This window comes from Homo sapiens, chromosome 15, assembly GCF_000001405.40.
Source record: "Homo sapiens chromosome 15, GRCh38.p14 Primary Assembly".
Classification (NCBI taxonomy): domain Eukaryota; kingdom Metazoa; phylum Chordata; class Mammalia; order Primates; family Hominidae; genus Homo; species Homo sapiens.
In genome coordinates, this window is record NC_000015.10 from 63,830,026 (window position 1) to 63,855,755 (window position 25,730).

At 43.1% G+C, this 25,730-nt stretch overlaps 1 protein-coding gene across 41 annotated transcripts in view, besides 4 other annotated features; it reads right to left on the reverse strand.

Annotated features, from left to right (window-relative positions):
- HERC1 (HECT and RLD domain containing E3 ubiquitin protein ligase family member 1) overlaps positions 1-3,923 on the reverse strand; it is a 225,331-nt gene extending 221,408 nt beyond the window's left edge. For 26 of the 41 annotated variants that reach the window (XM_047433250.1, XM_047433246.1, XM_047433256.1 and 23 more), the window contains exon 1: positions 3,797-3,923. The gene's annotated coding sequence lies outside the window, so the exon portion shown is untranslated. The remainder of the gene's footprint in view (positions 1-3,796) is intronic. The other 15 variants (XM_047433260.1, XM_047433247.1, XM_047433234.1 and 12 more) reach the window with 1 other exon arrangement.
- Positions 3,079-3,944: an enhancer, noted in NCBI's record as "NANOG-H3K27ac-H3K4me1 hESC enhancer chr15:64125303-64126168 (GRCh37/hg19 assembly coordinates)". NCBI's record gives its function as "activates a minimal SCP1, AML or CMV promoter by ChIP-STARR-seq in naive H9 embryonic stem cells {active_cell/tissue: H9 hESC(naive)}" and the evidence as "EXISTENCE:reporter gene assay evidence [ECO:0000049][PMID:30033119]".
- Positions 3,312-3,741: a silencer, noted in NCBI's record as "silent region_6523". NCBI's record gives its function as "represses an Ori minimal core promoter by ATAC-STARR-seq in GM12878 lymphoblastoid cells {active_cell/tissue: GM12878}" and the evidence as "EXISTENCE:reporter gene assay evidence [ECO:0000049][PMID:35858748]".
- Positions 3,945-4,808: an enhancer, noted in NCBI's record as "NANOG-H3K27ac-H3K4me1 hESC enhancer chr15:64126169-64127032 (GRCh37/hg19 assembly coordinates)". NCBI's record gives its function as "activates a minimal SCP1, AML or CMV promoter by ChIP-STARR-seq in naive H9 embryonic stem cells {active_cell/tissue: H9 hESC(naive)}" and the evidence as "EXISTENCE:reporter gene assay evidence [ECO:0000049][PMID:30033119]".
- Positions 3,982-4,111: an enhancer, noted in NCBI's record as "active region_9541". NCBI's record gives its function as "activates an Ori minimal core promoter by ATAC-STARR-seq in GM12878 lymphoblastoid cells {active_cell/tissue: GM12878}" and the evidence as "EXISTENCE:reporter gene assay evidence [ECO:0000049][PMID:35858748]".

The following is a 25,730-nucleotide window of genomic DNA, read 5'->3' on the forward strand; positions in this document are numbered from 1 at the left end:
GGGAAATACAAAATCATGATTAGCCAAACACCACAGTAATAACTGTTGCAGACAAGATCTACCAATGGATGTTAAAAATCAATGGGAGAAAGTTTGAGGAGAAACTGTACATCCACAGTCTCAAAGTGTCTCCCCCAAGATATGTATGAACAATAAAGGGAAGAATAGTAACTTTACTGTGAAGAATACCGCTAAGGGTTCAAAGTTAAAATACCACTAGCAAAAAGACATGTCAACACCATGTACCCCCAATATGATGCATTGAGAAGGACACAACATCGCTTCTGTAGTTTTCTTGCAAAACATGCTTAACCTCAATCAAATCATGAGAAAAAACATCAGACAAACCCAAAATGAAAGAAGTTCTAAAAAATAACAGTACTCATCAAAAATGTCAAGGTCGTGAAAAACAAAAACTGAGGAACTGTCAGAGATTGGAGGAAATGAAGAAGACACAACAACTAAATGCAACGTGGGAACCTAGATTAGACCCTAGAACAAAAAAAAAGGCATTAATGGGGAAAAACCAGTGAAATTAAGTAAAATCTATAGTCAATAGAGTTACACCAATGCTAACTTCTGGTTTTGATCACTGTATTATGGTTATGTAAGTTGTTAACATTAGGGGGAGCTTGGTGAAGAGTATGTAAGAACTCTGTACTCTCTCTGTAACTTTTCTGTAAGTCTAACATTATTTCTAAATAAATCATTAAAAATAAATAAAATCCATCAACCAATCATCTGATACAACTGTCATATCTTCTTGCTCAAGGATCTCATCTGAAATTTAACAGTCCCATTAATTTAGAGAGCCCGGTAGGCAACATCAGAACAAACTAAAATCATGAAAATCGGATCTGGCATCTAGTAAGTAAACAACTACTTTATGCTCTTTTTCACTTTTTGTAGTTAAAGAAAATGCTAGCAGATGTGACCTTCCTGGCTTTGCAAACTTCTCTGTAAATGATTTGACCAACTTTTTATGTTTTCAACATCATGATAATCTGCAATACATGCTCACAACAATGTATTTCATGTGTATGTTAAGCCAAAGTTGTGTAGACCTTTGTTGTTGTTTGTTTTGTTTTATTTTGCTTTTGAGATAGAGTCTCACTGTGTCTCCCAGGCTGGAGTAGAGTGGTGCAATCACAGCTCACTGCAGCCTCAATCTCCCAGGCTCAATTGATCCTCCCATCTCAGCCTCCCTAATAGCAGGAATTGCAGGTATGCACCACCACGTCCAGCAAATTTTTGTATTTACCATAGAGACAAGGTTTCACCATGTTGCCCAGACTGATCTTAAACTCCTGGGCTCAAGCCATCCTCCCACCTCGGCCTCCCCAAGGGCTGAGATTACAGGCGTGAGCTACTGTAATCTGGCCAAAAGTTCTATTTACAATTTTTAAAAATAGCTTCAACAGATTATAGTAAGTTTGTTACTTGCTATTATATAGTTATCCAACTATAACATTCAAGTTTTGTTTCACAAGTTTCTTTTTATCCTAACACAACCTTCTCACTCTCCAAGCCACGATGTCATCATTATCATCATTTTAAGATCTGAAAATCTGAATTTTAAAAATTTTAAAAGGTCAGCTCCTTCAATATACCCAGCCCCCTTTTTTTTCTATTTCAAATATTAGGGAGTATTCAGTATGACTTTTTTGGGGGAAAACATGCTTGGAACGTTGGAATTGTTATTACTATTTATTATTTGCACCCTCTACTAACCCAATCCAGTCCAATCACCAACACATTCTCCAAAATTTCTTTAAATTGAGATTTTCAAGAGATGTTTATATTAATAAGCAGATTAAGTGACGCATTTACATTTGCTTTCTCTTCCATGCAACATCAGGGTGCCTGCATTGGAAATGGAATACATGACCAGCAAATGAATGGATGTGTCACATGCAAACAGCATGACTGGAAATTTAAGAAGCAAAATGATAAGAACCTTAGGGAACGCAAAATTCATAAAAGTTTAGAATTACAAGAGGCCTTAATAGGCCATTTAATCCATTCCAATAACAACAACCCCAGATGACAATCTATCCTATTTTTAAAAGGCTCCAGATTTCCAACCTCCCTAGATATCTCATTCTGCCATACAACCTTGTCATGTGATTTGGGGGAAATATTATGACTGTTCTTTGCCCTTCCTAATGCTATCTTTTCTCAAATAATATAGCAATACATCTTAACTCACTTCCAAGATATATAAATGTGTATAGGTGCAGAATACGTGTGTGTGTGTGTGTGTCTCTATACATATATACGTACATTTATGCATAAGACAGGCACCTAGGACATTCAATTTTGCTTGTATAAACGCAGGCTATGGAAACACATATATCAAAGAGACATACTCATCCCACACTAATCACAACAGGCACTATGAAACAATGTCACAGAACAATTTTGGTCTAAAAATATCCAGTAGAAATCAATTTCATAAAACCTGAGGTAAATAGGTTTCTTCCCACTATGAATAATCATAGTTTCTTTCCCTTCTACAAATACTGCCCCATTTTGAGCAACCACCACTAACAGAATTGTAAAAATATAATATATACATAGGTACTAGACCCAAACAGACAATGTTTTAACGTTTGATTTTTCAAACCACTTAGCTAACAATCATTTTGGAAAAGGGCCCAGTGAAAAAGATAGTGATGGCAGAGTTCAGCCAGTGATAATGAACTAGCAGCCAGTTTTAATCAAGCAGGCCAGAGAACTGATTCAAATAAAATAAATCATTTTTGGAACAAATATAGAATGAGGAAGTCCCAAGCAAGGATAAAAAAAAATGTGTCTGTTAGGAAATACAATAAAATGTTAACCATGAAATGCCACCTCTGGAGATGGAATTACAAAGATGGGTTAGTTTGTTCAGATTTGTTATTCCCATCATTTAATTATCTCTATATTCTAAGTATTATAGACATTTCTTAAACTAAGACAAATCTGTCCCTGTGTTTCACAGCTCTCTAAGATAACATGTCTTTTACATAACCTCCTGGGAGAGGTGGTACAAGCTCCTGTCCTCCTCGTGTCTCCCAGTAACCTGCCACCCATCACAGAACAGATTTCACCATGTTCCCCGGGGTAGCTCCTGTCATCACCATCATCATCCTCATCTCACGCTTAAGACTAAACAATGCGCCCCGCCTCGCCTCCCGGTTGCAAAGGCTTTATAATTTGTTGTTTTATTGGGGCGGGAGATTTGGAGAAAGGTTTAGCAGATGATGAGCTGCCCTCACCCAAAGGCAGAGGAGAGGAGGAAGACACGTCGTCCCAGCCTCCACCCCGCTAAAGGCGGCCGGCGCCTGGGGACACCGGGGTCGCGGCACTCCCCGGACCCTGAGAGGGAGTCGGCCGCCGCCCGCGGACCGAGCCCCAGCCGGGGCAGAGGAGCTGGTCAGCAGATAAAGGAATGAAGCAGAAAGAGACGCGACCACAGCGGGGCCGGGGCACAGACGTTGTAAGCCGCTGGAGGGGCGGGTCTCTCGGCCCTCTCCGCGGGCGCCTCGGCTTCTACGCTGCTCCGAGGCGCCCGGGCGGCAGGAGGCCTCTAGAGCCGGGGACCCGGGGGATCCGCGGCGCGCCAGGAGGGCTCCCCCAGCTCGCCTGCCGCCCACCCGGGACCCCAGCAGCCCCGCTCGGCTGCAGTCCCGAAACGGCCCCGGCCGGCCCTGCGCGGCCGGCAAAGCACACACGCGCGCGCGCACACACACACACACACACACACACACACACACACACAGGACCAGGAGGACGGTAGATGATGCGTTACCGTACGTGGCTCTGGAGCTGGCGGGGTGGGGCGCGGCTCCGGCGACCCGAGCCCGGCTCCGCAGAGGCTGCGGCGGTCGCGTCCTTTATTTTTGCTGCAGCAGCAGCGACTTGTCAAAGGGAAAGACGTAAGAGGCGGCGGCAGCAGCGGCGGCGTCAGGCGAGTCTCACGAGATTTGGGCGGAACTCTCGCGCAGCCGGGAGCCCTCGCCCCGCCCAACAGGCCCAGCGCGGGAGGTGAAAGGGGAACCGAGAGGAAGGCGGCTGAGGTGGAGTTGGGGGTTGAGCGAAAAGGGGAAAGGGATTTGGGAGCGAGGGGAGCCAAGCTAGGTGCTGGGGACACTTTGCTACCGCGCGGCCCTCACCCTTCAGCCGTCGCGGAATCCGGGCAGCCCCGACCGCCTGCGGGGACCTGACTCCACAGATGAAGCACAATTGGGGGCGTTTCACAAAGGGTGGTGAGGAGTGGGGGGCCATGCAGTGCGCCCCCTTTTCCTCGTGGTGGGCAGGGAAGACCCCGCCGCCAGGCGAAGGGACACGTGTTACGGCCGGCGGCAGGGCCAGGGCCTCACCCCTTTATCTCCGCCTCGCACCCGGCGCCCCACGCTCTTTATCTCTCATCGCAGCGGCCCCGGCCCTCCGGCCGGCTAAGTTCAATCACATAAAAGCGTTTCACTTGACCTACTCTTCCACCTTGTTCATGTCTTTGCGCCTTATGGGACTGCCAGAACCCTGCAGATGCCAGGGCCTGGCTCCTCGGTTTTCTTTTCTGCTTGGGAACACAGTAGTGTCCTTTGGGTGACTTACATCCTTGATCATGACCTCGACCTCCACGTGAAACCCCATGAGGGGAAGGACACAGACTGGCTCAGTCCTCACCATATCTCCAGCGCCTAACATAGGTCCAAGTGGACATTAAATTGTTGAGTGAATACCCCATCTCCATCTTCCTCCTTCTGTACCTGGTTTTACTCCTTTCCAGCCACCTTCATGGTGTCTTTCCTTCCAGATATTCTAACGAGCATCAATTAAACTGACCGATGACTTGGGGACAAAAAATAGAGTTGGCCTCTGCGTTCCAGAAGTTTGCAATCCAATTGGAGGCGTAGGAGAAGCACACAAACATACAAGCCATGAATGTGTCACTAATGTAAGAAATTACGGTATAGACAGACGAGGGAGTGCTTTCCCATGGTTAAATTAGATACATGTTTGTGTGTCACATGAGGCAGTTTAGTCCAAGAGTTAGGAGCCATGTGCTTCACTGTCAGACACTGGTGGGAATTCTGGAATCCCACTTACCCCAGGTGTGTGACCTTGGGCAAGTTGCTTGACCTCTCTGAACCTCAGTTCCTTATGTGTCAATTTATAATGCCAGTTCTTGTTATCACAAGGTTCCTCTGAGGAGTAAAATATATGTAAAGCTCACATACGGCACATATTAAGTACTCATTAAATGATGGGTCTTAGGTGTGTAGCTTTTAAGTTTCTATGTATAAAATGTGTATTTCTGGTAAATGATGTAAGGGAGTAGCTACATGAGGAGTGATGTCATTGTTGCTAGTGCTTTATGATCTGGGTATTGTGTGTGAAGCATACTCAAAAACAACAAGCAAAAGCTCCTCCTTTTAACTTGTTGATGTCATCTACGTCACTCACAAATATGATATTCTGTCTTTCTTGAATTTGTAAAATTGTACTGGTTTTGCCCACTTTTTCTTTTTCTTTTTTTTGAGATGGAGTTTTGCTCTTGTTGCCCAGGCTAGAGTGCAATGGCACCATCTTGGCTCACTGCAACCTCCGCCTCCCAGGTTTAAGCGATTCTCCTGCCTCAGCCTCCCAAGTAGGTGGGATTACAGGTGTGTGCCACCATGCCTGGCTAATTTTTGTATTTTTAGTAGAGATGGGGTTCCACCATATTGGCCAGGCTGGTCTCGAACTCCTGACCTTGTGATCCGACCGCCTTGGCCTCCCAAAGTGCTGGGATTACAGGGGTGAGCCACCGTGCCCAGCCTGGTTTTGCCCATTCTATTTCAAGAAAAGGACTGCTTACTTTAAAGACCAATCAAGAGACTCCCTCTTTTACCATCTCCTTAGCTTCCACCCTCAGAGCTGTGTGTAAAAGAGAATTGAATACAACTGTGTTCAGTTGCATACAATTAGCAAATACTGTTAGTGTCAGCAAGTGAGCCCTGACTACTAGCCACCCTCACCTTGACCACACCACTCTTTCCCAAAACACTGTTTTTTTCTTTCTTTCTTTTTTCTTTTTGAGGTGGAGTCTCACTCTGCTGCTTAGGCTAGAGTGCAGTGGCGTGATCTTGGCTCACTTCAACCTCTGTCTCCCGGGTTCAAGCGATCCTCCTGCCTCAGTCTTCCTAGTAGCTGGGATTACAGGTGTGCTGCACCATGCCCGGCTAATTTTTTTATATTTTAGTAGAGACAGGGTTTCACCATGTTGCCCAGGCTGCTCTCGAACTCCTGACCTCAAATGATCTGCCTGCCTCGGCCTCCCAAAGTGCTGGGATTACAGGCGTGAGCCACCGCACCATGCTTAAAACACTGTTTCATACTCAAATCAGCATATCCTGGAACCTTGTTGTCAGCATTAACCTCCCAACTCTACCAGTTCATTTTATTCAGATTTCCCTAAAGAAAAATGTTGGAGATGGGAAGAGTGGATGGAGGGATCTCAGAGCCACAGCCAAGTCCTAAGCATCACAAGCCCTTGGTCTGATAGCCCTCTGAGCAGCATACCCTGGCCATACCAGTCAGCCACATCTTCCTCCCCTCACGTATGTCACCCCCACTTCATGCCTCATACTTCACAGCACCACACCACAGCTGGGAGGTCCCAGGCAAAGGAACTGGAGAATCAACAGTAGAATATATATTTTTCATCTTTCATCTGCATTTAGGAAATGTGCAACTCCTAGATAAAAATCAGGGCTAAGTTTGAAGTGAAGAAATCCAGCAGAGCAGTAAAGTGTGGAGGCAGAGCAGCAGGGGTAAACAGACACTGGGAGTAAGTTTGTGTTGCCCTTGGCACTTGGCTCAGGAAATATATCACTCTGAAAACAGAAAAGAGCTCCAGAGCAGGAATCCATGGACATGAGTTCTGGTAGCTCCAGAAATTGCAGCCTAGTTGCCCTGCCATTACACAGTCTTTCTGAGCCTAGTCTCACATCTGTAAATAGGGGTAATAATAAAACCCACTGCCTGCCGGAGAGTATCATGGGAGTCAAATAACATAAGAAAGTACTTTGTAACCATATTTGTAGCACTATTTAAATGTGAGGTATGATTATTCATTCATTCATTTAACAGGTCTTTGTGGAATGCCTATCATAAGTCAGGCACTGTGCAAGGCACTAAATATACTATTGAACAAGCTTAAACACCTGCCCTCAAGGAGCTTATGGTCTAATGGGAGGAGAGAGGGAAGAAAATAGATCGATATAATATCACATGAGGAGAGTGCAAGTGATAAAGGTATAGTGGGAGGGAGCAAGCAAACCAGAAGAAGTGCAAAAAGAGCTGAAAGCCTTTTTGGAGGAGGTTTAGAAAACATATATAATGGGCCAGGCACGGTGGCTCACGCCTGTAATCCCAGCAATTTGAGAGGCTGAGGTGGGCAGATTACCTGAGGTCAGGAGTTCAAGACCAGTCTGGCCAACATGGCAAAACCCCGTCTCTATTTAAAAAATACAAAAATTAGCCAGGCTTGGTGGCGGGCACCTGTAATCCCAGCTACTCAGGAGTCTGAGGCAGGGAGAATTGCTTGAACCCAGGAAGCAGAGGTTGCAGTGAGCGGAAATCGCACCACTGAACTCCAGCCTGGGTGACAGAGTGAGATTCTGTCTCAAAAAAAAAAAAGCATCCATAATGAAGATTCATCACATTTCATGAAGAGCGATTCCTAAATCAACTCCAAAATAACTTCAACAAATTGTTCTGTTGTGGGCTGTGAATTCTCCTTGGTTCTAATAAAAATTGTATCTCCTAAACCATTAGAAAAGAGTCTTTGATGTGGAGTCATTATATACACCCTTAGCTTTGAATAAAGATGGAATTAATGGAGAGAAAAATTAGTGGTATCTTAATTAGAAACATTTTGTTCTTACAGCTTGTGTTTAAACACCAGAAAAAGAATTCATTCCACCTCACGTACTTGGTCCCCAATAGTTCCCTTCAGCCACTCTTTTGATCCAGATAATATTGCAGATCAGAGCCTAAGAGGCATTTCCAAAATATGACAACACATACTTTATTTTCATTTATGGTTTATTTATACAGATGGTCCCTGACTTCTCTGATTTTTCAACCTTAATGATGGTGTGAAAGCAATATGCATTCAGTAGAAACTGTACTTCAAATTTTGAATTTTTATCTTTTCCTGGGCAATATGGATATTCTCCTACAGTCTTGGGCAGTGGCAGCAAGCTGCAGCTCCCAGTCAGGCTTGCAATCACCAACACTACAGTGTCCTGTTTTGCCAGATGATTTTGTCCAGCTGTAGGCTAATGTAAGTGTTGTGAGCACTTCAAATTAGGGTGGGCTAAGCTATGATGTTCAATAGGTTAATTGTATTAAATGCATTTTTGACTTTTTTGTTGTTGTTGAGACAGACTTTTGTTGTTGTTGTTGTTGTTGCAGTCACAGTTCACTGAAGCCTCTACCACCCAGGCTCAAGCAATCCTCCCACCCCAGCCTCCCAAATAGCTGGGACTACAGGCACATGCCATCACGCCCAGCTAATTTTTTTTATTTTTTTACTTTTAGTAGAGATGAGGTCTGCTATGTTGTCCAGGATGGTCTTGAATTCTTGGACTCAAGCAATTCTCCCGCCTCAGCCTCCCAAAATGCTGGGATCGCAAGCATGAGCCACCGCACCTGGCCTGACTTGATTTATGACGGGTTTATTGGGATATAACCCCATCGTATGTGGAGGAGCATCTGTACTCTGCTTCTTTACAAAAGGCTTTGAGATAGCTATTAACACTTTATTCATAATCATATTCCCTACAAAGAAACTCCAAGAGAGTGTATCAGTTCATCATTTCTCACAATTATTGAGTTCCTTCCATGTGTAAGACATTATGCTAGAACTATAAGCTGTATGAAGCGTGTCCATGCCCTTTAGGGGTCTGAAAACTATAGATGCAGATATATATCCATGAAAATATAGCTAAATAATAAACAACTCTATCCCTTTATCCTTATAGTCTATTGTATCTCTTTGTATTTCCTATTGGTTGTATGAGCAAAATTATAAAGTTAGGTGCCCAACTTCTGAAACTTGTTCACTCTACACTGCTGCTTTTCCATAGAAGCAGGATATCAAAGAAGGGCAAGATTTTAACTTGATATTTATAGATCTATAATAGGTATTTTAGTAGGTCTTCTTGAATACCTCATCCTTTAAACAGAGCACAACCATGACAATTTTCTCTTGGTACAGGTAAAATTTGAAATTGGCTAAACCTAAAGACTAATTTAAATTAATTCTGGAAGACAAAGACTTGCACAAAAAAAATAGCCTTTGATAAAAGGCAATATGATACAAGGTAAAAGAAAGTACAGAAAAAAAAAAATATTCCCGGAACTCAGAAGAGACTCCTGGAGAGAATTTCATCCAGGTGGTAGAATTTGAGAGGGTAGCTGACAGCTAAATACAAAAAGTTACATATTCTGATAATAAGGTATTCTCAAAACACCAACCTCCAAGCCACAAAAGTTGCCTAGAATTTTTGTTAAAATGTATCTACATATGAAAACACATTCATTGCCTCCTATCTTACTAACAGATAATTGATCTGCCAAAGAGGTTTGAAGGGAAGTAGGGATACTAAAAATAGGATCATAAGATTGGCAGTTGGTTCTTTTGGAAACAGAGTTCTTTCTTGCTAAATGCAAACCTTCTAGGGTTTCTATTTGAAATCCATATCCTAAAATCAAATATTACATACACTAGGACAACCCACTATCTAAACAGTGTTAAAGACTTCCCTTTCTAGCTGTTTCTTAGACCTACAATGCGATAACCATTTTTAGATAAATTATTTTTACAACAGTTAGTGTTGTTTCATCGAAACACAATACCCTGGGGCAGACACAGACGAACATTTTCTCACTCAGCAGCAGGGAATGGAATGTTGATGCTGGAAAAAGAAAATGAAGCTACAGGGGGAAAAGCCTACTATGTAGGGAGAAGGGAAAGAAGAAGGGAACTAACAATTACAGAGTGCTATCCATGCCAGACACTGTGGTAGCACATTGAGAAGAAGATGAACTAGGCACATCTTTGTTCTGGAAAGAAAATAATAAGAAGCTTATATAAATAATTTTACCTTTTTTCCACACTCTGTCAAGCCTCAGGATATATAAATAATCATAACACAAGTTAGAAAGCTGTGAGCACAACAAGAAGTATGTATCCCTTTTTCTCCTTTCAAAAAAGGACTGGGGGGCTTAGACAAGGTATAGTTAAATTATAGCAGGTTGGATCAGGGACAGTTAATGAGAAATGGGTTTTTTTGTTTGTTTGTTTTTGGCTTTTTTTGAGACAGAGTCTCGCTCTGTTACCCAGCCTGGAGTGCAGTGGCACTATCTTGGCTCACTGCAACCTTCGCCTCCGAAGTTCAAGCGATTCTCCTGCCTCAGCCTCCCAAGTAGCTGAGATTATAATGCACCACCAGGCCCGACTAATTTTTTTTTGAATTTTTAGTAGAGACGGGGTTTCACCATGTTGGCCAGCCTGGTCTTGAGCCCCTGACCTCAAATGATCCACTTGTCTCGGCCTCCCAGAGTGCTGGGATTACAGGTGTGCACCCAGCCAGAAATGGGTTCTTAAAGGTTGAGTGGTTAAATTTGGATAGTGGGAATAGGGCACATTCTAGGCACAAGAAACAGGATAAGCAAAAGTGTTCTCAGGATCAGCAGGCAGTCCAGTTTAGTTGTAGCTCTGTGGTGCTTATGTTTTCCAAGACTCTTGGTTGCAAGTGACAGAAACCCAACCTGAACTTGCTTAGGCAAAAGTGAAGAAGAATCGGCTGAAGAGATCCAAAAAAGTGTTTAAATGTCAAGGTAGGATAGGGCAATGAGCCAAGGCTTCAGGAACTTCTGGAGTCAGGAACTCTCTTGCTTCTTTGCTCACCTTGCTGCCTGGGCTTCAATTTATCTTAACACAGACTGGCTTCCTTCATATAGCTGGATATATGGCACCCCTTAGCTTTACGTCTTACCATTTCCACCCCTAGAATGGGAATAACATTCTTAAGTTTGAAAAAAATCCTGTGGGAAGAATGCTAATTGGCCAGGCTTGGATCAGTGCCCATCCTTAGACCAATCCCGGGGGGCCCAAGGGAGGGGCAGAGCATAGTAAAAGAGAAAATGGGTGATGGGGTCTGGAAAGCAGTCTTGTGAGGCTGTGTTCGGAGAATTGATAAGGACTGAAAGATTGCAACTTTACAAGAAGCATATCAACAGGGGAGGAAACATGTTGGCCCAAAATTATGGTAACATTTGCTGCACTACCAAGTTAAAATGAGGTTGAAAATTTTATGGCATTGTTCAAATTATTAATGTTTTGTCATTTCAGTCAAGATATGAAACATAGTGGATCTTTCACACTGGCTTAATGACAATAGGACCTGGAATCCTTCAGTTATCTAGCCAGATGACTTTAGGTGAACATCTTAACCAACCTGAGCCTCAATTTCCTCATTGAAAAATAATACTAATAATTATAGCTAACATCTATTGAATCTTGGTGTTCTAAGCACTTTTCAAATATTTAATCTTCAAAACAAACCTATAAGGCTCTATAAATCTGATACAATAATCCCCATTCACAAGGTTATTATAAAGATTAAAACCCACATAAGGTGCGTGGCCTGGGCTGGGCGTGGTGGTTCACGCCTGTAATCCCAGCACTTTGGAAGGCCAAGGTGGGTGGATCACTTGAGGTCAGGAGTTCAAGACCATCCTGGCCAACATGGTGAAACCCTGTCTCTACTAAAAATACAAAAAGCCAGGCATGGTGGCAGGCCCCTGTAATCCCAGCTACTCAGGAGGCTGAGGCAGGAGAATCGCTTGAACCCAGGAGGTGGAGGTTGCAGTGAGCCGAGATCACACCATTGCACTCCAGCCTGAGCAGCAATGGTGAAACTCTATCTCAAAAAAACAAAACAAAACAAAACAGATGCATAGACCAATTGCCTGGCTTACAGCCAGCCCTGAATACATCATAATTTTTAATGATCTGTTGTCCAAAAAAGGAAACTCTCTGCATTTCCTGATTGCCTTGGGAACCAAAAGCTTTGAAAAAACAAAAACAACAAACGGAAGGAAAAGACTCTAGACTCTGTGACTCCTTATCTCTGACATAGAAGCGGGTAGATAGGGTAGGACTTAATAGGGACTAAAATAAGTCACGAGGAGAGCTACTAAAAAACAAACAGAAAGTAGAAAATTGAGAAGTGTGATAGTAGAATGTCAAGCAAATGAGAGTGGCCAACGTTTTGGTTCTTTTTTCTTGCAGGATAGAACTTTCCAAAAATGCCCATCTGTAAAGCTGAGCCATTTAAAGTTATCATGTCTTTGACCTGAATGCTGTCAAACAACTCAGATTATTCAACCAAGGACAGGAACTAACACTCATTGGCAAAATCCATTATGTTTGGGCTCTGTGCTGAGCCCTTTATACACAGCTGACCCTTGAACAATACAAGGGCTGGGGGACTAACCACACCCTACCCCTGCAGTCAAAAATTAATGTATAACTTTTGATTCCCCCAAAACTTAAGTACTAATATCCTACTGTTGACCAGAAGCCCTACTAATAACATTAAACAGTCTATTAATATGTATTTTATATGTTATGTGTATTATATACTGTATTCTTACAATGAAGCAAGCTAGAGAAAAGAAAACATGATAAAGATAATCATAAGGAGGCTGGGCACAGTGGCTCATACCTGTCATCCCAGCACTTTGTGGGGCTGGGACAGGGGATCACTTGAGGCCAAGAATTCAAGACCAGTCTAGGCAGCATAGCAAGACAATGACTTTACAAAAAAATTTAAAAATTAGCTGAGTGTGGTGGCACACACCTATAGTCCCAGCTACTCGGGAGGCTGAGGCGGGAGGATTGCTTGAGCCCAGGAGTTTGAGGCTGTAGTGAGCTATGATTGCACCACTGCACTCTAGCCTGGGTGACAGAGTCACACTCTGTCTCTAAAAAAAAGAAAGAAAAAATAAATGACTTTCTGCAGGTCACCAGCTAGTAAGTAGCAAGGCTGGGATTCAAACACAGGTCTGTCTCACTTCAAAGCCTAGAATACAAAATAAGTCCTACTTCCTTACCAGAGTGAGATATTCAAGGCATGAGTACTACCAAAATCTGAGAAAACTGATGAAAGAATAGGCCCTTCCTAACCTGTCTTTCTCCTACTCTTTCTCCTGTGTTCATCCCCCTTACACACCACCTCCTGGCTGCCCAGGTCTGGAGACTTTCCCCAAGGACTATCTTCTCATCAAAATGTATCTGTCCTGTTCTACTCTTCACCATAGTGACATTGCATTGTAAAGAATTGATGTGCCCTTCCCTCTAGTTCACACGTTTTTGCATTCTAAGTTGGACTTCCTGGGAGTATTGAACAATATTAAGAAATAATTCAAAAGATGGAAATTTCAGAACCTGGAAAAGGGACATGGATAAAATCAAAGCTGTTTACAGAGAAGTAGGCCTCTGAGAGTTCACCATTTTGTACCATGTAGATCTTCACAAACGTACACACACACACACAGCCAGCTGTGAGTTCCCTGAGAGCTGAACCTGGGGCTGTCTTGTTCAGTGCCTGGAAATCAATAAATATATAATGAATCAATGATATCTGAAATACACAACTGCACTTTATTTTCCCTGGGCCTCAGACTAACCCAGCACATGCGCCAATTGTTCCAGGTGACAGGATTTGTATTCATCTTTAGCAAAACACCGCTTCCTATCCCCTCTCTTAGTGAGCCCTGCTGACCCTCCAAAAAGGTCAGAAAGAACCAAGCCTCAGTGAATGACAATGACCCCCATCATTGGGAAATATGGAATAAAGCTTTCAAGAGCACTGAGAGAATGAAGACGAACAGGTTTGCCTGTGTGTGGTGGTGAATGTGAGTTACTGCAGACAGTTAAAGCGATCACCAAAAACCCAGCAAAACCAGCAGTTCCTTGAGAAACATTCACTAGCCTTGTGAGGATCTACAGATATGTAGATGGACTCTCTTGGTTGCAAAGGGGGAACATTACTGGTTCACATCACTGGAAATTCCATGATATATCCAGCTTCAGAAATGGCTGGATGCCGATAATCAAAGATCATCATGGACTTTATGTCTCATACTATATCTCTAGGCACTGCATTCCTTTGGAATGGCTTCATTCCCTAGCAGCTCTCTCTCTCTCTGCATAGAGAAGGATCATGGCACCTAGCAGCTCTAGGCTTATGTTGTCATTAGAATTCTTTTTTTTGCTGGGCGCAGTGGCTCACGCCTGTAATCCCAGCACTTTGGGAGGCCGAGGCGGGCGGATCACGAGGTTAGGAGATCGAGACCATCTTGGCTAACAAGGTGAAACCCCGTCTCTACTAAAAATACGAAAAATTAGCCAGGCGTGGTGGCAGGCGCCTGTAGTCCCAGGTACTTGGGAGGCTGAGGCAGGAGAATGGCATGAACCTGGGAGGCAGAGCTTGCAGTGAGCCGAGATCACGCCACTGCACTCCAGCCTGGGCGACAGAGCGAGACTCTGTCTCAAAAAAAAAAAAAAAAAGAATTCTTGGAACCAACCCAAATGTCCAACAATGATAGACTGGATTAAGAAAATGTGTCACATATACACCATGGAATACTATGCAGCCATAAAAAATGATGAGTTCACGTCCTTTGTAGGGACATGGATGAAGCTGGAAACCATCATTCTCAGCAAACTATCCCAAGGACAAAAAACCAAACACCGCATTTTCTCACTCGTAGGTGGGAATTGAACAATGAGAACACTTGGACACAGGAAGGGGAACATCACACACCAGGGCCTGTTGTGGGGTGAGGGGAGGGGGGACGGATAGCATTAGGAGATATACCGAATGTAAATGACGAGTTAATGGGTGCAGCACACCAACATGGCACATGTATACATATGTAACAAACCTGCACGTTGTACACACGTACCCTAGAACTTAAAGTATAATAAAAATATTTTTAAAAAAACTATAAAATAAAACACAATTTCAAAAAAAAAAAAAAACAAGCTGGGCACAGTGACTCATACCTGTAATCCCAGGACTTCAGGAGGTGGAGGTGGGAGGATTGCTTCAGCCCAGGAGTTCAAGACCACCCTGGGCAACATAGTGAGACCCTGTCTCTACAAAAAATAAAATATTAGCTAGACATGGTGGCATGTGCCTCCAGTGACAGCTACTTGGGAGGCTGAGGTGGAAGGATCACTTGAGCCCAGTAGGTCGAGCTGCAGTGGGCCATGATCATGCCACTGCACTCCAGCCTGGAAGACAGATCAAGCCCCTGTATCAAAAAATTAATTAACTAATTTTTTAAAAGCCCACCCAAAACAGGACCGTGGTAGCCCATGCCTATAATCCCAGCACTTTGGGAGGCCGAGGTGGGCAGATTGCCTGAAGTCAGGAGTTCGAGACCAGCCTGGCCAACATGGTGAAACCTTGTCTCTACTAAATTACCAATTTACTGTATTAGTCTGTTTTCACGCTGCTGATAAATACAAAAATTAGCCAGATGCGGTGGTGGGTGCCTGTAATCTCAGCTACTCGGGAGGCTGAGGCAGGAGAATCGCTTGAACCCAGGAGGCAGAGGTTGCAGTGAGCCAAGTTCACAGCACTGCACTCCAGCCTGCACAACAGAGTGAGACTCCGTCTCAAAAATAAATAAATGAACAAACCCGCCCAAAACAAATGCATAGCTCATCTAAAGTGAAGATTCTTGTCACCACCAGGTCAAGAAATAGAATATCTTGCAACCTACCCCAGAAGTTCCATCCATGAGCCCCTTCCCAATTGCAACCCTCCTCATATCCTGATTTTTGTATTAATCACCCAAATGTGCATTATTAAACTAGGGTTTAGTCTTTCCCATTCCTCTCCAAGCTAATATGTCCCTAAGCTTTTTTCAACCCATATCTTCCCGTCTAATATGGTTTCCCCTCTAATTGGTTCTGTGTCCCCACCCAAATATCACCTTGAATTATACTCCCATAATTCCCACTTGTTATGGGAGGGACCTGGTGGGAGATAATTTGAATTGTGGGGGTGGTTTCCCCCATAGTGTTCTCATGGTAGTGAATAAGTCTCATGAGATCTGATGGTTCTATAAGGAGTTTTTGTTTTTGCATCTTCCTCATTTTCTCTTGCCACTGCCATGTAAGAAGTGCCTTTAACCTCTCACCATGATTCTGAGGCCTCTGCAGCCATGTGGAACTGAAAGTCCAATTAAACCTCTTTTTCTTCCCAGGCTTGGGTATGTCTTTATCAGCCATGTGAAAGCAGACTAATACAGTAAGTTGGTATGAGTATAGTGGGGTGTTGCTGAAAAGATACCCAAAAATGTGGAAGTAACTTTGAAACTGGGTATCAGGCAGAGGGTAGAACAGTTTGGAGGGCTCGGAAGAAGACAGGAAAATGTGGGAAAGTTTGGAATCTCCTAGAGACTTGTTGAGTGGCTTTGACAAAAATGCTGATAGTGATATGAACAATCAGGTCCAGGCTGAGGTGGTCTCAGATGGAGATGAGAAACTTTTTGGGAACTGGAGCAAAGGTAACTCTCTTTACGTTTTTAGCAAAAAGACGGGCAGCATTTTGCCCCTGCCCTAGAGATTTGTGGAACTTTGAACTTGAGAGAGATGATTTAGGGTATCTGGTAGAAGAAATTTCTAAGCAGCAAAACATTCAAGAGGTGACTTGGGTGCTGTTAAAGGCATTCCATCTTATAAGGAAAACAGAATAAAAGTTCAGAAAATTTGCAGCCTGATGACGCAGTAGAAAAGAAAAACCCATTTTTTGAAGAGAAATTCAAGCTGGCTACAGAAATTTGCATAAGTAACAAGGAGCCGAATGTTAATCCCCAAGATAATGGGGAAATGTCTCCATGGCATCTTCACGGCAGCCCCTCCCATCACAGACTCAGAAGCCTAAGAGGAAAAAATGGTTTTGTGTGCCAGCCCCAAGATCTCCATGCTGTGTGCAGCCAAGGGACTTGGTGCCCTGAGTCCCAGCCACTCTAGCTATTGCTAAAAGGGGGCAGGATACAGCTCGGCCCATGGTTTCAGAGGGTGCAAGCCCCAAACCTTGGCAGCTTCAACATGATGTTGAGTCTGTGAGTGCCTAGAAGTCAAGAATTGAGGTTTGGAAACCTCCACCTAGATTTCAGAAGATGTATGGAAATGCCTGGATGCCCAGGTAGAGGTTTGCTGCAGGGGCGGGGCCCTCATGGAGAACCTCTGATAGGGCAGTGCACAAGGGAAGTGTGGGGTCGGAGCCCCCACACAGAGTCCCTACTGGGGCACTGCCTAGTGGAGCTGTAAGAAGAGGGCCAACATCCTTCAGACCCCAGAATGGTAGATCCACTGACAGCTTGCACCGTGTGCCTGGGAAAGCCGCAGACACTCAACACCAGCCTGTGAAAGCAGCCAGGAGGGGAGCTATACCCTGCAAAGTCACAGGGGTGGAGCTGCCCAAGACTATGGGAATCTACCTCTTGCATCAGTGTAACCTGGATGTGAGACATGGAGTCAAAGGAGATCACTTTGGAGCTTTAGAATTTGACTGCCCTGCTGGATTTTGGACTTGCATGGGCCCTGTAACCCCTTTGTTTTGGCTAATTTCTCCATTTGGAATGGCTGTGTTTACCCAATACCTGTACCCTCATTGTATCTAGGAAGTAACTAGCTTGCTTTTGATTTTACAGGCTCATAGGCAGAAGGGACTTGCCTTGTCTCAGATGGACTTGGGAATGTGGACTTTTTGGTTAATGCTGAAATGAGTTAAGACTTTAGGGGACTGTTGGGAAGGTATGATTGGTTTTGAAATGTGAAGACATGAAATTTGGAGGGGCCAGGGGTGGAATGATATGGTTTGGCTCTGTGTCCCCACCCAAATCTCATCTTGAATTGTACTCCCATGATTCCCACATGTTGTGGGAGGGAACCTGTGGGAGATAATTTGAATCATGGGGGCGGTTTCCCCCATACAGTTCTCATGGTAGTGAATAAGTCTCATGAGATCTGATGCTTTTATCAGGGGTTTCCGCTTTTGCATCTTTCTCATTCTCACTTGCTGCCACCATGTAAGCGTGTCTTTTGGCCGGGTGCGGTGGCTCACACCTGTAATCCCAGCACTTTGGGAGGCTGAGGCAGGCGGATCACAAAGTCAGGAGTTCCAGACCAGCCTGGCCAACATGGTGAAACCACGTCTCTGCAAAAATACAAAAATTAGCTGGGTGTGGTGGCACATGCCTGTAGTTCCAGCTACTCAGGAGGCTGAGGCAGGAGAATCACTTGAACCTGGGAGGTGGAGGTCGCAGTGAGCCAAGTTCGTGTCACTGCACTCCAGCCTGATGAAGAGCAAGACTCTGTCTAAAAAAAAAAAAAAAGTGTCTTTTCCTTCCTGCCATGATTCTGAGGCTTCCCCAGCCATGTGGAACTGTAAGTCCAATTAAACCTCTTTTTCTTCCTAGTCTCGGGTATGTCTTTATCAGCAGCATGAAAACAGACTAACACACCCTCTATCCCTTTTCTTTACCCAGTCTGTTAAAGAATCCTTTTGACCTGCACAGCTTCCCATGGTCTAGATTTTGCTGATTGCATATTCTTGGTGCAGTTCAACCAGTTTTTCTGTCACCCATATTTCCTGCCATCTACAGCTGTATCCAAGGACTGGATTAAACTCAGGTTTGGTCCTTTGATAACAGAGTAAGAGATATTAGGTAAGTCCATAGCAAACACACATGCCTGGTTATCTCCCTTTTTATGATGATAACATCCATGTTAACATGTTATAGTGCCTAATGCCCATATCTATTAATTCACTGAGGGTTGTTAAATGATGATATTCTCATTCAAGGGTTGGCAAACCATGGCCTGCAGGCCAAATCTGTCAAACTTCCCCTGTTTCTATAAGTAAAATGTTGTGGTCAGGAAGCAACAGTCAGGCATGGAAAGCCAAGATCTAAGGTCTAGTCTCTGGAAACACCAGGCTGCTGGTCCCCTCTGAGGTCATGCCATCTCCCTGGGATTAGTCAGGTTAGAGTACAGGACCCCAAAGTCACAGAATCTACAGACTTCTATCTCCTCTTGTCTCAAGGACTCTCTCTTTACTTTCATGGCTTGAGCCTACCCTATCTTAGAACATCTAACCTCTCCCCCTTCCCCCATCATAATCCCCTCAAAGAGCTCCAACTTTTAGAAACCTAACCCAGGAGAGCAAGCCACCTTAGGTGACCTCTTCTCTCAGCCCTACAGGTCAAACTTCCTCTGAGGCAGGAAACTTAAAAGCTTGCATACCTTTTCAGAAAACAAGGGGGAAACCCCAAGAATAACTAACTAAATAAATGGCTGTTATCCTTTCTAATTCTTTTTTTTTTTTCTTTTGAGACTGAGTCTTGCTCTGTCACCCAGGCTGGAGTGCAGTGTCGTGATCTTGATTCACTGTAACCTCCGCCTCCCGGGTTCAAGTGATTCCCATGCCTCAGCCTCCCCAGTAGCTGGGATTACAGGTGCACACCACCACACCCGGCTAATTTTTGTATTTTTAGTAAAGACGAGGCTTCACCATGTTGGCCAGGCTGGTCTCGAACTCCTGACCTCAAGTGATCTGCCTGCCTCAGCCTCCCAAAGTGCTGGGATTACAGGCATGAGCCACTGTGCCCGGCCTTTTCTAATTCTTCCACAACAGCAAAGCAAAACACAACATCTCAGTTTCCTGCCACATCTTATTGGCTATCAAATACAGAAAAAAAGGTTATTCTTGAGGGCTTTATCTTTATGAAGGCCACTTTTCTTGCACATGAAAGAAATATCATTTAAATTAGCTGAAGGAAAAACAGGACATCTATTAAAAGGACCAAAAAGGCAGGGCGCAGCGGTTCTCACCTGTAATCCCATGACTTTGGCAGGCTGACGTGGGAGGACTGCTTGAGTCCAGGAGTTCAAGACTAGGCTGGGCAATGTGGTGAGATCCTGTGTTTACTAAAAATTTAAAAATTAGCTGGGTGTGGTGGTACACGCCCGGGAGGCTGGAGTGGGAAGATTGCTTGAGCCCAGGAGGTCAAGGCTGCAGTGAGCTATGATTGTGTCATTACCTTCCAGCCTGAGCAACAGAAATTCTGTCTCAAAAAAAAATAAAATAAAATAAGGACCCAAGGACAGGACTGGAATAGCTGCTCTGAGCACTCTGGGACCTTATGGGATCCCAGCCTCTACTCTTCTGTTTTGCATGCGCTCTATTCTCCTTTCTCTGCAAAACATTTCTTCTCGTTTCTCTTTTCCCCTGGCAGAAAATAGCCATCCTGTAGCTCTCAATTCTGTCTTTCAGTTCAAGAGACAGTGGATATTCACTAGTATTTCTCAAGGCCAAAATTTCCAGATGGATAAATCTGATTGTTTCACCCCCAGAGGTTGCAGATATCCCTTGCCCTCAAGTCCTGTTGGCCAGAACTTATTCACGTGGCTATGTCTAGCTGTAAGGGAGGCTGGGTTTCATGGCCTCTAACGGGATGATCATAGGCTCTGTGGCTCTTCCTAAAAGGAAGAAAGGTAAAATGGCTACTGGAGACAGCTGCCTCTGCCACACTCCATATCAAATGCTTAGTTGTTTAAGACAAAGAATATGGCATCCCCTAGAGATAAGGCCAAAGACAAATGATAGCCTCAACCCATGCTGGGAGCTGTAAGCTATAAAGAGAGAGGAACTGACACCAACAAGAAACAGACCTGATACCTTCTTTTTGTAGGTGAAATTCACAAAAATGGGATTCCCAAGTCAAAGATCATGTGTATTTTAAATTTTAATTCATATAGCCAGATTATTTTCCCACAAGGTTGTAGTAATTTCCATTTCTATCACCTGGCATCTGTTTTACTTGGTGCAGTTCAACGAGTTTTTCTGTCCCCCATATTTCCTACAATCTGCAGCTATATCCAAGGACTGGATTAAACTCAAGTTTGGTCCTTTGACAACAGAATGAGATAGAGCCCTCCAGAATAACCTTTTTTTTTTCTGTATTTGATAGCCAGTAAGATGTGGCATCTGTTTTCTCAGTCTTACGAGCATTGTATGTTATCTATCAGTCTTTCAAGTTTTACCAATCTGAAAGATGAAAAAGGTATACATTACCTAACTACAAGTCAGTTTGCAGGATAAACATGTTTCCTGTTTGTTGCTTTACTCATGGCCTCAGGACACACCAATCTATATGTCTTCAACCCACCTCAGTTTGCAAAGCCTGACAGCACAATTCCACCTTTGCTTCGGCAGCTGCACCACTCTCTGTGCATTAATAAAGCCCTTCTGGAAAACAATTTGCCAAAATAAATCATTGTTCTCACCTTTAGTTCAGTGACCCCTCTTCTGGAAATCTATCTGACAGAAATAATCTAACTTATAGAGAAAACTATATGCACAAAGATGTTCATTACAGCATTATTTATAACAGAAGAATTTTAAAAGCAATCTAAGTAGCCAACAATATTACACAAGGGTTAGTCAAGCTATGGTATGATGTAATCCTAAATCCATTAAAATGGTAATTATGAAGACTATGGAGTAATATGCAAATTAATCATGATATAAAATATGGATAGATTAGGTATGCATATGTTAATTAATTTGATTTAGCCATATCAAAATGTATATATATTTCAAAACATCATGTTGTGCCTCAACATATCTATGACAAACCCACAGCCAACATCATGAATAGACAAAAGCTAGAAGCACCCCTTTTGAAAACAGAAACAAGGCCAGGTGCTGTGGCTCATGCCTGTAATCCCAGCACTTTGGGAGGCTGAGGCGGCCAGATCACTTAAGGCCAGGGGTTTGAGACTAGCCTGGCCAACATGGCAAAACCCCGTCCCTACTACTAACAATTAGTCAGGTGTGTTCACACATGCCCGTAATCCTAGCTACTCGGGAGGCTGAGACATTAGAATCTCTTGCATCCTGGAGGCAGAGGTTGCAGTGAGCCTACCATACCCCAGCCTGGGCAATAAAGCAAGACTCTGTCTCATTAAAAAAAAAAAAAAAAAAAAAAAAATGGCCGGGCACTGTGGCTCACGCCTGTAATCTCAGCACTTTGGGAGGCTGAGGAGGGCAGATCATCTGAGGTCAGGAGTTCGAGACCAACCTAACCAACGTGGTGAAACCCCGTCTCTACTAAAAATACAAAATTACCAGGGCATGGTGGCACATGCCTGTAATCCCAGTTACTCAGGAGGCTGAGGTAGGATAATCACTTGAACCTGGGAGGTGGAGGTTGCAGTGAGCCGAGATTGCGCCATTGCACTCCAGCCTGGGTGACAAGAGAGAAACTCCATCTCAAAAAATAAAAAAATAAAAATAAATTAAAAAATAAAAACAAGAACAAGACAAGGATGCCCAATATCATCACTCCTATTCAAAATAATACTGGAAGTCCTAGTCAGAGCAATCAGGCAAAAAAGAAATAAATGGCATCCAAATAAAAAAGAAGACAAATGACCTCTCTTTGCTGACGTCATACTGTACCTAGAAAACCTTAAAGACTCTGCCAAAAGGCTCCTAGATCTGATAAACAACTTCAGTAAAGTTACAGGATACAAAATTGATGTACAAAAATCTTATCATTTTTATACGTCAATAACATTCATGCTGAGAGCCACATCAAGAATGCAATGCCATTTACAAGAGCATTAAAAACAAAAAGTACCTAGGAATACATCTAACCAAGGAGGTGAAAGATCTCTACAAGGAGAACTACAAAACAGTTCTGAAAGAAATCAAAGATGACACAAACAAATGGAAAAACATTCCATACTCATGGACCGGAAGAGTTAATATCATTAAAATGGCCATACTGCCTAAAGCAATCTACAAATTCAACGTTATTCCTATCAAACTACCAATGTCATTTTTCACAGAATTAGGAAAAACTCTTCTAAAATTCATATGGAACCAAAAAAAGAGCCTGAATAGCCAAAGCAATCCTAAGCAAAAAGAACAAAGCCAAAGGCATCACATTACCTAACTTCAAACTATAAACTACAATAATCAAAACAGCATGATACTGGTAGAAAAACAGACACATAGGCCAAACAGAATAGAGAACCCAGAAATAAAGCCATACACTGACAGCATCTGATCTTTGACAAAGTTGACAAAAATAAGCAATGGGAAAGGGATTCCCTATTTGATAAATGATGCTGTGATAACTGGCTAGCCATATGCAGAAAAATAAAGCTGGATCCCTGCGTTTCACTGTATACAAAAATTAAATGAAGACGGATTAAATATTTAAATGTAAGATCTCAAACTATAAAAGTCCTAGAAGAAAACCTAGGAAATGCCATTCTGGACATCAGCCTGGGCAAATAATTTATGGCTAAGTCCTTAAAAGCAATAGCAACAAAAACAAAAACTGACAAAATATTTGCAAAAATAGAGAAAATATTTGCAAATTATGCATCCAACAAAGGACTAATATCCAGATTGTTCTACAGAAAATATACATGCACTCATATGTTCATTGCAGCACAATTCACAATAGCAGAGATATGGAATCAGCCTAGGTGCCCACCAACAGTGGACTGGACAAAGAAAATGTGCCAGCAGGTGCAGTGGTTCATGCCTGTACTCTAGGCTTTGGGGAGGTTGAGGTGGGAGGATTGCTTGAGCTCAGGAGTCCAAGACCAGCCTGGGCAAGGTGATGAGACACTGTCTCTAAAAAAAAAAAAAAAAAAATTAATTAGCCAGGTGTGGTGGCACACACCTGTAGTCCCAGCTACTTGAGAGGCCAAGGCCAAAGAACCCCTTGAGCCCAGGAGTTTGAGACTGCAGTGAGCTGTAATCAGGCCACAACAGTCCAACCTGGGTAACACAGCAAGACCCTGTCTCCAAAAAGGAAAGAAAATGTGGTACATATACACCATGGAATACTACACAGCCATAAAAAGAATGAAATCATGTCCTTTGCAGCAACGTGGATGAGGCTGGAGGCCATTATCCTAAAGTAATTAATGCAGGAACAGAAAACCAAATATCACATGTTCTCACTTATAAGTGGGAGCTAAACATTGGGTACATACAGACATAAAAATGGGAACATAGACACTGGGGCTACTAGAGGGGGGAAAAGGGGGAGGAATGAGGACTGAAAAACTGCCTGTTGGGTACTATGCTGGCTACCTGGGTGATGAGATCATTCATATGCCTAATCTCAGCATCATGCAATATACCCATGTAACAAATCTGCACATGTACCCTGTGAATCTAAAATAAAAGTTGTGGGCCGGGCACGGTGGCTTATGCCTGTAATCCCAGCACTTTAGGAGGCCAAGGTGGGCGGATCACTTGAGGTTAGGAGTTCGAGACCAGTCTGGCCAACATGGCAAAATCCCATCTCTGCTAAAAATACAAAAATTAGCTGGGCGTGGTGGCGTGCACCTGTAATCCCAGCTACTTGGGAGGCGGAGGTTGCAATGAGCCAAGATTGCGCCACTGCACTCCAGCCTGGGTGACAGAGCAAGACTCCGTCTCAAAAAATAAAATAAAATAGTTGAAATTATTTTTACAAAATTGTGTTTGTAAATACATATGACTTTTGTTCAATTAAAACATAATAAATGTTAAATAAAATAAAAATGGATTGAGGATAGCTTCTGCTTTTGCATGCCTTTAAGGAATTGCCCTCTTTCTGGCTGTGTGGCACTATTCCTCCTAGTCCCTGACTGCAGGAGTGGGTATGTGACACAGGCCTGGAGAATCACGATACCCTGTCATAACAAACTTAATGGCTTAAAACAACAAACATTTTTTATCTTACATTTCTGGGAAGTCAGAAGTTTGAAATAGGTCTATATGGACTAAAGTCAAGGTGTTGGCTGAGCTGTGTTCCTTCTGGAGGATCTAGGGGACACTGTTTCCTTTTCAGTTTCTAAAAGTTGCCTCCATTTCTTGGCTCATAGCCTGTTCCTCCATCTTCAAAGCCAGGAGCACAGCATTTTCAAACCGCTCTCTCACCCTGACTCTAACCTGCCTTTTATAAGGACCTTTGTGATTCTGCTCAGCCCACTGGAGAATCCAGAATACTCTCCCCATCTGAAAATCCTTAACTTAATCATATCTGCAAAGCCCTCTTTGCCATGCAAGGTAACATATTCACAGGGGCCAGGGATTAAGACAAGGCGGTCTTTCAAAGGTCATCATTCTGCCTCCCACACAAGTTATATAACTACAAAATTTAAGACTTGGAACATGTACAAAAACGTTACTCGCAATTTCTCCATCACCCTAAACACAATCACTAATGATATCTTTCTTGAGTCTTTCCAATCTTTTTTCTGTTTACAGTTGTTCACACAGTTACAATTATACCATTTTGTATTTAACTTTTTCACTTGATAAATACCACCCACCATTTCCTATGCCTTTATGATACTCATTAGCAATGGCTGCATAATATGCCACTGAGTGGATATGTTGTCACTTATTTAACCAACTCCATGTTGTTAGACCTTTAGGTTGACATGTAGGTTTCCATCTTTTCACTCTTATACATAACGAGCCAATGAACAAATATATGCATACAGCTCTTTCTAAATATGTGGATTATTTCTTTAGAATAGATTATCAGAGGTGGGATTACCAAGCCTAAAGAAATAAACA